At 35.6% G+C, this 13737-nt stretch overlaps 1 protein-coding gene across 12 annotated transcripts in view; it reads right to left on the reverse strand.

The window, feature by feature from the left end:
* The window catches only part of SPOCK3 (SPARC (osteonectin), cwcv and kazal like domains proteoglycan 3), a 501562-nt gene that overhangs the window by 322005 nt on the left and 165820 nt on the right, over positions 1-13737 (reverse strand). For 9 of the 12 annotated variants that reach the window (XM_017008258.2, XM_011532018.2, NM_001204356.2 and 6 more), the window contains one exon: positions 7104-7149. The exons of the other annotated variants lie outside the window; for them this stretch is intronic. In XM_017008258.2, coding sequence (XP_016863747.1) covers positions 7104-7149 — 46 coding nt within the window. The remainder of the gene's footprint in view (positions 1-7103; positions 7150-13737) is intronic. 12 annotated transcript variants of the gene reach the window in all.

A 13737-nucleotide genomic window follows, 5' to 3' on the forward strand; every position in this document is an offset into this window, starting at 1 on the left:
ATTTCTGCATTTCCATCTGAGGTACTGGGTTCATCTCACTAGGGAGTGCCAGACAGTGGGCGCAGGACAGTGGGTGCAGCACACCGTGCGCGAGCCAAAGCAGGGTGAGGCATTGCCTCACATGGGAAGCCCAAGGGGTCAGGGAGTTCCCTTTCCTAGTCAAAGAAAGGGGTGACAGACAGCACCTGGAAAATCGGGTCACTCTCACCTGAATACTGCGCTTTTCCAACGGGCTTAAAATACGGTGCACCAGGAGATTATATCCCGCACCTGGCTCAGAGGGTCCTACGCCCACGGAGTCTCACTGATTGCTAGCACAGCAGTCTGAGATCAAACTGCAAGGCTGCAGCGAGGCTGGGGGAGGGAGCCCGCCATTGCCCAGGCTTGCTTAGATAAACAAAGCAGCCAGGAAGCTTGAACTGGGTGGAGCCCACCACAGCTCAAGGAGGCCTGCCTGCCTCTGTAGGCTCCACCTCTGGGGGCAGGGCACAGACAAACAAAAAGACAGCACTAACCTCTGCAGACTTAAATGTCCCTGTCTGACAGCTTTGAAGAGAGCAGTGGTTCTCCCAGCACGAAGCTGGAGATCTGAGAACGGGCAGACTGCCTCCTGAAGTGGGTCCCTGACAGCAGACCCCCAAGCAGCCAAACTGGGAGGCACCCCCCAGTAGGGGCAGACTGACACCTCACATGGACAGATACTCCTCTGAGACAAAACTTCCAGAGGAACGATCAGACAGCAGCATTCGCGGTTCACAAAAATCCGCTGTTCTGCAGCCACCGCTGCTGGTACCCAGGCAAACGGGGTCTGGAGTGGACCTCTAGCAAACTCCAACAGATCTGCAGCTGAGGGTCCTGCCTGTTAGAAGGAAAACTAACAAACAGAAACCCATCTGTACATCACCATCATCAAAGACCAAAAGTAGATAAAACCACAAAGATGGGGAAAAAACAGAGCAGAAAAACTGGAAACACTAAAAAGCAGAGTGCCTCTTCTCCTCCAAAGGAACGCAGCTCCTCACCAGCAATGGAACAAAGCTGGATGGAGAATGACTTTGACGAGCTGAGAGAAGAAGGCTTCAGACGATCAAACTACTCTGAGCTATGGGAGGACATTCAAACCAAAGGCAAAGAAGTTGAAAACTTTGAAAAAAATTTAGATGAATGTATAACTAGAATAACCAATACAGAGAAGTACTTAAAGGAGCTGATGGAGCTGAAAGCCAAGGCTCGAGAACTACGTGAAGAATGCAGAAGCCTCAGGAGCCAATGCGATCAACTGGAAGAAAGGGTATCAGTGATGGAAGATGAAATGAATGAAATGAAGCGAGAAGGGAAGTTTAGAGAAAAAAGAATAAAAAGAAACGAACAAAGCCTCCAAGAAATACGGGACTATGTGAAAAGACCAAATCTACGCCTGATTGCTGTACCTAAAAGTGACGGGGAGAATAGAACCAAGTTGGAAAACACTCTGCAGGATATTATCCAGGAGAACTTCCCCAATCTAGCAAGGCAGGCCAACATTCAGATTCAGGAAATACAGAGAACACCACAAAGATACTCCTCGAGAAGAGCAACTCCAAGTCACATAATTGTCAGGTTCACCAAAGTTGAAATGAAGGAAAAAATGTTAAGGGCATCCAGAGAGAAAGGTCAGGTTACCCACAAAGGGAAGCCCATCAGACTAACAGCGGATCTCTCGGCAGAAACTCTACAAGCCAGAAGAGAGTGGGGGCCAATATTCAACATTCTTAAAGAAAAGAATTTTCAACCCAGGATTTCATATCCAGCCAAACTAAGCTTCATAAGTGAAGGAGAAATAAAATACTTTACAGACAAGCAAATGCTCAGCGATTTTGTCACCACCAGGCCTGCCCTAAAAGAGCTCCTCAAGGAAGCACTAAACATGGAAAGGAACAACTGGTACCAGCCACTGCAAAATCATGCCAAATTGTAAAGACCATCGAGGCTAGGAAGAAACTGCATCAACTAACGAGCAAAATAACCAGCTAACTTCATAATGACAGGATCAAATTCACACATAACAATATTAACTTTAAATGTAAATGGACTAAATGCTCCAATTAAAAGACACAGACTGGCAAATTGGATAAAGAGTCAAGACCCATCAGTGTGCTGTATTCAGGAAACCCATCTCATGTGCAGAGACACACATAGGCTCAAAATAAAAGAATGCAGGAAGATCTACCAAGCAAATGGAAAACAAAAAAAGGCAGGGGTTGCAATCCTAGTCTCTGATAAAACAGACTTTAAACCAACAAAGATCAAAAGAGACAAAGAAGGCCATTACTTAATGGTAAAGGGATCAATTCAACAAGAAGAGCTAACTATCCTAAATATATATGCATCCAATACAGGAGCACCCAGATTCATAAAGCAAGTCCTGAGTGACGTACAAAGAGACTTAGACTCCCACACAATAATAATGGGAGCCTTTAACACCCCACTGTCAACATTAGACAGATCAACAAGACAGAAAGTTAACAAGGATACCCAGGAGTTAAACTCAGCTCTGCACCAAGAGGACCTAATAGACATCTACAGAACTCTCCACCCCAAATCAACAGAATATACATTTTTTTCAGCACCACACCACACCTATTCCAAAATTGACCACATACTTTGAAGTAAAGCTCTCCTCAGCAAATGTAAAAGATCGGAATTTTAACAAACTGTCTCTCAGACAGGGATGCCCTCTCTCACCACTCCTATTCAACATAGTGTTGGAAGTTCTGGCCAGGGCAATTAGGCAGGAGAAGGAAATAAAGGGTATTCAATTAGGAAAAGAGGAAGTCAAATTGTCCCTGTTTGCAGATGACATGATTGTATATCTAGAAAACCCCATTGTCTCAGCTGAAAATCTCCTTAAGCTGATAAGCAACTTCAGCAAAGTCTCAGGATACAAAATCAATGTACAAAAATCACAAGCATTCTTTTACACCAATAACAGGCAAACAGAAAGCCAAATCATTAGTGAACTCCCATTCATAAGTGCTTCAAAGAGAATAAAATACCTAGGAATCCAACTTACAAGGGATGTGAAGGACCTCTTCAAGGAGAACTACAAACCACTGCTCAATGAAATAAAAGAGGATACAAACAAATGGAAGAACATTCCATGCTTGTGGGTAGGAAGAATCAATATCATGAAAATGGCCATACTGCCCAAGGTAATTTATAGATTCAATGCCATCCCCATCAAGCTACCAATGACTTTCTTCACAGAATTGGAAAAAACTACTTTAAAGTTCATATGGAACCAAAAAAGAGCCCGCATCGCCAAGTCAATCCTAAGCCAAATGAACAAAGCTGGAGGCATCACTCTACCTGACTTCAAACTATACTACAAGGCTACAGTAACCAAAACAGCATGGTACTGGTACCAAAACAGAGATATAGATCAATGGAACAGAACACAGCCCTCAGAAATAACGCCATGTATCTACAACTACCTGGTCTTTGACAAACCTGAGAAAAACAAGCAATGGGGAAAGGATTCCCTACTTAATAAATGGTGCTGGGAAAACTGGCCAGCCATATGTAGAAAGCTGAAACTGGATCCCTTCCTTACACCTTATACAAAAATCAATTCAAGATGGATTAAAGACTTAAACGTTAGACCTAAAACCATAAAAACCCTAGAAGAAAACCTAGGCAATACCATTCAGGACATAGGCATGGGCAAGGACTTCATGTCTAAAACACCAAAAGCAGTGGCAACAAAAGCCAAAATTGACAAATGGGATCTAATTAAACTAAAGAGCTTCTGCACAGCAAAAGAAACTACCATCAGAGTGAACAGGCAACCTACAAAATGGGAGAAAATTTTCGCAACCTGCTCTTCTGACAAAGGGCTAATATCCAGAATCTACAAAGACCTCAAACAAATTTACAAGAAAAAAACAAACAACCCCATCAAAAAGTGGGCAAAGGACATGAACAGACACTTCTCAAAAGAAGACATTCATGCAGCCAAAAAACACATGAAAAAATGCTCACCATCACTGGCCATCAGAGAAATGCAAATCAAAACCACAATGAGATACCATCTCACACCAGTTAGAATGGCAATCATTAAAAAGTCAGGAAACAACAGGTGCTGGAGAGGATGTGGAGAAATAGGAACACTTTTACACTGTTGTTGGGACTGTAAACTAGTTCAACCATTGTGGAAGTCAGTGTGGCGATTCCTCAGGGATCTAGAACTAGAAATACCATTTGACCCAGCCATCCCATTACTGGGTATATACCCAAAGGACTATAAATCATGCTGCTATAAAGACACATGCACACCTATGTTTATTGCGGCACTATTCACAATATGAAAGACTTGGAACAAACCCAAATGTCCAACAATGATAGACTGGATTAAGAAAATGTGGCACATATACACCATGGAATACTATGCAGCCATAAAAAATGATGAGTTCATGTCCTTTATAGCGACATGGATGAAATTGGAAATCATCATTCTCAGTAAACTATCGCAAGAACAAAAAACCAAACACCGCATATTCTCACTCATAGGTGGGAATTGAACAATGCGAACACATGGACACAGGAAGGGGAACATCTCACTCTGGGACTGTTGTGGGGTGGGGGGAGTGGGGAGGGATAGCTTTAGGAGATATACCTAATGCTAAATGACGAGTTAATGGGTGCAGCACACCAGCATGGCACATGTATACATATGTAACTAACCTGCACATTGTGTACACGTACCCTAAAACTTAAAGTATAATAATAATAAAATAAAAAAAGAAAGAAAATGAAGGACTTGAACACAATGGAGTACTATTCAGCCATAAAAAGAATGATATCCTGTCATTTGCAACATGGATGGAACTGGAGGTCATTATGTTAAGTAAAATAAACCAGGCACAGAAAAAAAAAAAAGAAAAAACAAACAAAAAAGAAAATAATACTTGAAGGAAGAGTCTGTCACCAAGAAAAGCAAGAAACATACTAGAAATGAACATATCTCATGTCTTTTCTATGTAGATGATGGACACTATTTAGATGGAAATAGGATTATTTTGCTCACTCCTCAGTGTGGTCTACAACTAGGTTGGTCAATTTGACTCAAAGCGAAAAACAAATACACATATCTCAATCTAATTTTTGTTCGATTTTTATTTTTTTGATACAAAACTTTCTTACATGTTTATCAACTATATATGTTCAAGAAATCAAAACTTGAGATCAGATAGTCTAAAAAATACTGTTTTAACATATAGAAATAAAGCTTTGTTCAAGTAAATGTGCATTTTTAAAGCATAAACTTCAAAATATCATCGGGATGCCATTATTTCTTGATAGTGTTATCATATGAGTGGTAATATTGCATAGCAGTTAGGAAACAGGTTTGGGGGTTCAGACTGACTGAATGTAAATCTCCACTCTGCCACACTGTGGGAATATAACCTGAGCAGGAGCTTAACTAACTGCTTTCAATATCTTAACTTCTTCATCTACCTTGCAGGGTTATAACAACTAAATTAAGTAATATATATCAAACACTTGGAGTAGTGACTCAAAATAGGACATTCTTCATAAACATTAGCTATTATCATGTCATAAGCTTATCCCTGTCTGATAAACATAATATTTTTAAGTTAGTAGGTTAAAAACCTCTCTTAATATTAAAGCAAATCAATCTTGTATCATTAATTGTTTGGAAGACTCTCAAATAGCATTCTTTTTTTTATGAGAGATAAATTGCAATTCAACACATTGTCATGCACACATAAAGGAAAATAAAAACATCTTTATTATAACTGGATGCACCAAGTATGACAAATTCCATAGCTAACACCCATTTTACAAGGTTTGTGATTCTATCATAAAAATTCATTTCCCAAGAAAGCCAGTAAATAACATCTCTGTCTGCATGTCATTATTTTTTTATTGCCTGTGTTTTAGAGCATTGGCTTGACTTATTAGTAACAAATTCAAAATTAATTCTTTTAGAATTTTAAAATGCTGATCTCACAAACAAACACTGGATAATAGTGAAATCAAATGAAATATATAAGAAAAAAGTTGTTTTAAGAAGATATTAGATTTGAATGACTGTTTCAGACTCCATGTTAATACCAATGTTGATGATGGTCTATGTCTAGGTCCACACAGGTGGTTTCTCACTCATACAGCTTGGTTGTTGTAGCAGTCACCCCAAATATTAAGTAAAAATCTGGTAACATAGCAAAATACTCTGAGCTCCTTTAAATAACATATTGTGTCTTCATCATCTAATCACTTACTAAACACTCTTACAAAAACTTCTATTTTTAAGTCTGACTACTTCACAAAGTATTATCTTTTGCACGGTTACTATATACTCTATGTAAAGAAGAAATTTTTTTTCTACTTTGCAGAGACTACAGAAAGTTACAAAAAGAAACTTTAAAAGTAAGATACTTTTTAAATGTGAACTTTAGTAAACAAATCTCTTTAGTCATTTATGTAACTATGATTGCTTGGGGCTTGATGTGTCCATTCTCATTGCACATGTAGAAGTATTTTCATTTTCATCCCTATTTCTTGTTTTCCTTTTAAAGGTAAGTTAATCAGAATTGCAAACTGTTTGAAAGGAGGTGGGGAAGCCCTAATTTTGTATAACACGTTTCCTTTTGGGGCTTGTTAAGACCCCAGCTGAGTCTAATTACTAATTTACTAGTCTTAAAGGAAACCTTTTATTAATTGGAAAAGAGGCAAAAAAAGCCATTTGTTTTAAAAGTTTGTACAAATAAATCTATTGCCCAGTGAATGTACTTGAAAACTGGATGAAGTGACTTGTATCTACTGATAAAAATAAACCTGGTAAGGTTCAGAAGCCCAAATCAGTCATCTAAAACATGTATCTAAAAATAAAAGACATCCTGACATAATCATGATAACTAATTAGCTTACTTCTAAAAATATTATGCTGAAATGTAAGTAATTATTGCACAAATTTTTCCATTCATGTAAGCTCTTCTATTTAGTATTTTCAAGCCTAACCAGACAGTAAATATCATTTCTAAAAGTACAATGATTATGAACATGTAAAGGTTTTTATTTTAAAATAGTTAGATTCTTACCCTGATCGAAGGGTTTTCCTGGACTCCAAGTGCGGAAATAATCATCCTAAGGGGGAAAATAATGTGAATTGAGTGTATACAAGTAATTAAAACGCAAGGGTTCATATAAAATCTAAAATTAAATATGAAACACAGAAGCTGTATACAAACCTCTACTTCCTGCAATGGCAAGCAGCAAATTATAAAATAAATAAATAAAAATAAAAAAGAAACAAGAGAAAAAGAATAGTTATCAAAAAGGAACACACTGTTTTCAAGTTACAGAAATGTCTTTCAATAAACCTGTTCATTTTCATTGCAAGTCAATGGTTACTATAACAATTTAACTATTTTTGGTTGCCACTTCTCCTAAATATTACAATGCAATATTTTCAATTACAATTCAGTGCATAATATAACATGCAGATAATTACCTAAAGCTAATAAGCTATAAAGTATCTTACCAGTTTCCAATTATACAACTTCATTGTCCCCTAGTACAACAATAAGTGGAACTATTAATTTAGCAGGGAAAATACCAAGTGATTCTGCAGTGGCCCATGGAGTGTAAATATGCTTTATGCAAATCATTCTCTTGCTAATCGAATATCTAAGAAGTTCATCAAAATGCAATCTAGAGGTTGAAAAGAATGCACACCTAATTAAGTCCTGCCTAAAGTTTAATTCTTTAATATGGAAAAGAATCAATGCAATATATTTACGATATACTTAGTAAATATGACAGTACAGCACAAATGTAGGGCAACGTATACTGAAAAGAATTTTTAAAAGTAAGGCCAAATAGACTATGTCTATTTACCGTTTTTACCACTCTAAAAGCCTTATAAAATTCCTCATTAATATCATATTTTATTATAAATTAAAAAGATATCACTGTTGAAATTAACATACTGTTGTCACTATGGTAACCTGCCAAAAGAGAGTAGCACATCATGGTGAAGCTGTAACATTTCCAAGCTCTAAACTGTTAGACCCACTCAAGTCAGTTAATTGGAAAGCTACAGAAGTTACAGAATTCAAAAGGGGTCAGCAGAGATTCTTTCTCTTTGTATCAATGTAAGGGGTATAAATGCGGTTTTGCTACATGAATATCACATAGTGGTGAAGTCTCAGCTTGTAGTGTAACCATCACCTGAATAGCGTACATTGTTCCCATTAAGTAATTTCTCAGCTTTCACCCCTCACACCGTCCCACCCTTCCAAGTATCTCGTGTATTATTTCATACTCTATGTCAATGTGTACACATTATTTAGCTCCTACTTACAAGTGAGAACATGAGGTATTTGACTTTCTCTTTCTGAGTTGTTTCACTTAAAATAATGGCCTTCAGTTCCACCCACGTTGAGGCAAAAGACATAATTTCATTCCCTTTTATGGCTGAATAGTATTTCATTTCCTTTATCCAATCAACTGTTGATGGGCAGTTAGATTAAATCTAATATATTTACGGTTCTGAATAGTGCTGTGATAAACATATGAGTGCAATTATCAGTTTTATATAATGACTTATCTTCCTTTTTTGAATCTTCTTTCTAGCCTCTTTTTTAGTGTCTCCACTGTATAAGGAAGAAAATGTAGCACTGACTTCAATCATAGAAATAAATGCAATCCTTTAATTTATTTATGAAAATTTTAAATTAAGTTTCAGAAGTTTTTTTAATGTGACTAACAGTTAATCACTACCTTCTGTAATTGCACCCCACCAATTTCAAATTTTTTAAAAAATGAAACAAAAAGAAAAAAATGACATCACTGTAGTTGATATATTTATGTCCAGATAGGGTTATATTAAGAGGAGGGCAAATTATAGCAATCTATACACATAGATTTTCCACTAAATTATCTAGGATTAGATTAAGAAAGGATAATGCTACTGGATAATTAATAAACACTGATTATGTATTGTCTTTAAAATATTTTTAAATACAATTATAGCATGATACAATTCTTGGAAAATTAGACTTTCAAATTAAATTACTCCACTAAATGTCTCAAAACTTGAGCTGAGCAACGTAACATACTCATTTAATATCTTTTATTTTTAAAAATGTATCTTACTATTTGAGGATGATGACTATGATTCATTCCAAGCATGGGGAGGAATTGGGCAGCTACAGTTTTAGGCCTCTCCTGAAGCAGAACAGAAAGCTAGACATGCACACGTGAGTGATGGATTTGGAGACGGGCAAACCAGAATTTTAAGTCTGGCTCTACCACTTATTAGCTGCATCACTTTAGAAAAGATGATGGCCTAGACTATCCTCAGAGTCCTGTGATGAAAGTTGGAAAAATAATATCTACCTATTTGAGGGGGAGATATTGGGATTAGTTATCAAATGTGTAAAATGCCAGCACAGTATCTGGAATAAAGGAGGTGCTAAATCTTAATAGCTACTCATAAGGGTCAAGTTTATGTCTGTCAGTGTCTTTGGGCAACACCACGGACAAGCTGTCATTACTGCTCACCAAATCCTTTGTTTTTCTGATTTCTTACAAACAGCCATAAACTCCTCCTCCTCCTATTTTCAAATCCAATGCCCTCTCCAAAAAAAAAAAAAAAAAAAAAAAGTCAAACGCAGCAAATTTTTAAATACCTACATTTATTGCTATAGTAAATGCAAGAAGAAAAAATGTTTTTGCTGTCATCTCAGACTGTACTGACATGGTACAGCTACCAGTGGCAACACCCAAAAGGATGTGGCCAAGTTTTTATTGTTAATAGTGAGTCCATTCATGTAAACATCACAGAGCCCAAGAAGGTGGAAACCGTGTAGAACTGACATTGTTAGCACTGAAGTCAGATGATGTCAAAGCAGCATGTTTCACATAGCACATAGTGTTTGCAACACTGAACACCTGCAGAGATGAGCAGGAATTAGGGGAATGTATATTTAAAAAGAATATAATTTTAAAATCTAACCTCAACCACATTTAATGATCTTCCTTCAGAATAATATGGTCAAGCTTGGTTCGTTTGGGACCACAGCTATATAAAAATCTATAATCACAATTGTAAAACATGAACTTGGTTTTCCTGGTTATGTCAAGGGCAATCTCGAAGCCTGGCCACTGTGGGGATCAGACATATATATGATGGAAATGCAAAGTAGTCCCACTACTAACCCATTTTTAGACATATTCTTTGTGTTCTCACATCACTAGACTTGTTTTCTTTAAATTAAAACAAACAAACAAAAAAACAAAAAAATAGTTTCACCTCATTAAATCTTAGGAATTTTGCCAGGATGAGAAATAAAAGTATTTTCACATAAGTGTTCATTCAGGCGCAATTTCTTTTGTTTCAAAACATTTGTGTGAATATTGGTTGTTCTCAGGCTTCAATTTATATCCAAAATAAGCCAACCAGGGATTTAGAAAACAACTACAAGAGTTGCCCTCAATTGGAGAAATTCTGGGTTTAAACGACTGAAACCAATCCTGAATGTTTCAAGAGGCAAAGTTGGATTATTGTCACATATGTTCAAAAACTTATGGAGTGAGTTACAGACACCATTAGAATTTAATATTAAACCACTGCCTACTTCTTGTACTTACAGAAATAATAACTATAAGTTTTCCACAAAATAAAGTCTACATAAAAATTGGGTTTATGTGTTTTATTGTTTAAACTGTCTTTTTCCTTGTGGTTTTAATGTTGCATTTTTTCTCTAATTTTAAATAAAATATATGTGCACTTTATTGAGCACACCTATGTATTGTAGAGCATAGTTTCTCAGCCTTGGCATTATTGATATTTTGAGCCAGATAATTCTTCGTTGTGTTAGGGGTAGGGAGACTATTGTGTGCATTGCTCGCTATTTAGTACCATCCTCTGCTTCTACTCATGAGATACCGGTGGGGATACTACTACAAGGTGTGACAAAAGGGAAGTGTAACAAGTTATTGCCAAATATCCTCTGGAAGAAAAATTCACTCATTTGAATACAGCTGATGTAGAGTTGTTGGTAAATAAAGACAAATGAATCAAAATATCTTACAACAAAGTACTGCTACTAGTAACAGATTTTCTCCACAAATATAATATTGAAAGTATATTAAACATTCAATTTTAAATGCAGATTTTTGTGTAATATTTTATTAAGAACACTTTACAACTGTATGGGTTTTTTTCTCCAAAATATTTAATGGCTATATAATACTCTTTGGTATCGACTTACTGTCATTTATATAACTATGCTGTCATATGTCCATGCTCTATGCCTTTATATTACTTATCATATTTAGCTATAATAAATAACATACAAATATATCTGACTAAATTTCTATTTTCTTATAAATACAGAATATAACTATAAGTTCAGAAAGGTGATCAGTGTAAATAAACACCACACCCAGTATGGAGAAGCTAGTTTCCTGTTCCAATAACTGGTTACAACTAGGCTTTGTACAGGTGAGGTGGGTCGGAAGGATAAGCTTACACGGAAAGGTCAACTGTTTGGTTCATTTGTGTCCACACAGCTACATCTGTACTGATAAACTCTCCCATTGTCTGAAGGAATAATTTGGATTGGCACAGAACTAGGTCAGAGATTGCTTAAGCATCCTCACAGAGTTTGATACAGAATCAGTTGGGAATAGGAGATCTTGATGCCCAAAAGCTCCATAAATGCCTACCGATGAACATAAAAAGAGTAATACTCAGGCATTATGTTAGCCATTATTAAGCCATTTAAGTCATCCCAGTGGCTATGAAGAGTGGTTTCGGCAATAAAATCTTACTAAAATCTATGTTTAAAAAAAGTTTACAAAGCACCACACTTTTAAATATTACTAAACAGAGACACTATTGAAGTCTACTGAACACAATTTTGTTGTATATTTTCACAACTATTTTGCAATTTACGTTAACTGCTATAAAAAGATCACATCATTATAAAGTGAGACACAGAGGATAATGCTTTTGAAGACACACTTCAAATATGAAATGAATGTCAAAGTGATGATTATCAATGGTAACTATTTTTGTTACTCTATGCCCATATTCTAAGCAAATATGACAGTCCAGTTCTGGGTGGGGTATAGAATATTCTGGTCAATCTATATGAAAAGAGTTTAGCTGATAATATTCCTATAGCATTTCACTTTCTTACCTGAAGTCTGATGTCAAACTATCCAGGATTTCATATAAGACCTCTGTATAGAGTCATCCAATTGAAATACATAAAAACCAACATTAGATTCAGCTATGGTACTGCCAACTATATTTACTGACACTTTATTATTAAAATGAACATCTTAGCAATATTCTCCCTTAAAGTAATAGCATCAATGCTATACTACACCCAAAAAGGAGACAGGCTTTTACAATAGTACTGTCTTACTTTTTTCTTTTTAATTCACAGGGTCCCAATTGATGTTACATTGTTTACTCTAAGGCATTCAGAATTACATTTTATTATGTTAATACTTATTAGTTGTATTTCATTAATGTATCACTGTTTAAAATGTTTAAAATGTCATTTTTCTTCTTGTCCCCAAAATGAATACCTCACTGTTTAATGAGTGATCTTGTTCACATAACAATTGGCTCCAATTTCAATTAAATTAGGATGAAAAAATAAAAATTTAATAAAATGCTAAAAAGAATAATTATGAAGATCTAAGGATGAATTTGTCCTGGAACAAATTTTCAAATTTTAGCTTAACAGTTTCAATTAATATATTAGAATGAAAAATAAATATCAAAGAAAGCAAACAGTAAGGAATAATAGAACATCAGGGAAAAGACCAAGCTTTTAGAAGAAGAAAAGTCTAAACTTGAACCCTATATCTACCATTTACTCTGATTTCAACTCTGACTTCCAATTTTATTTTCTGAAAATTGAAACTAATAATAATGTTGTTAAGCTTTGTAAATATTAATGTATACAAACTATTAATATAGTTCTAGTTCATAATATGCCTTTAAAAATGGCACTAATTATTTTTATAGCCAGGAAAACATTCTAGTAATTGTCATCAATCATTATGCTACAAATGAATATATTTATTAAATTATATCATGTAAAAATAAAAATTTTGAATAAAATATATGGTATATTTTAGGAAGATTATAATATATGGAATAGGTGGTTAGAAAGCAGATTTTTGATCATTCCATTGTGACCCCTGACCCTTGACTTCTGATGCCAAATGCATATAAATTATGACCTTATTAATCTTCCAGTGTCATATCAGACTTATGATTTTATTTTTTTCAACTGTTCCAGTAAATATTTATTGTGCTCCAGTAGATTCTACAGAAAAAGAAAATTGAGTGGTACACAGCTTGTGACTTCAAGGAGCTCAGAATCTAATGTGAAAGCCAGATGCATTCAGAATGGACTAAGTATGTAAAGAGAAACCTATTCAAAGCATGATGGGAGCAAGAAGAGAAAACAAATAAATCTGAAATGTTGCTAGTGAGAAGTCTTCATGGTGAACCTAACTTATAAACATGTTGATATAGGACATAGGAACCCAAAAATTTAATTTCCCAAGGTATCTGAAGTATCACCTAGTTCTTCCTAGAGATAAAGAATCCAAAGCTTCTGTTGTATAGGCATAGATGATCTCCAAAGATGGCCTTTATCAATGGCTTTCCTCACTGCATATTCATCCTGCTACTTACTC

The sequence above is a fragment of the Homo sapiens genome, chromosome 4 (genome assembly GCF_000001405.40).
Source record: "Homo sapiens chromosome 4, GRCh38.p14 Primary Assembly".
NCBI classification, from domain to species: domain Eukaryota; kingdom Metazoa; phylum Chordata; class Mammalia; order Primates; family Hominidae; genus Homo; species Homo sapiens.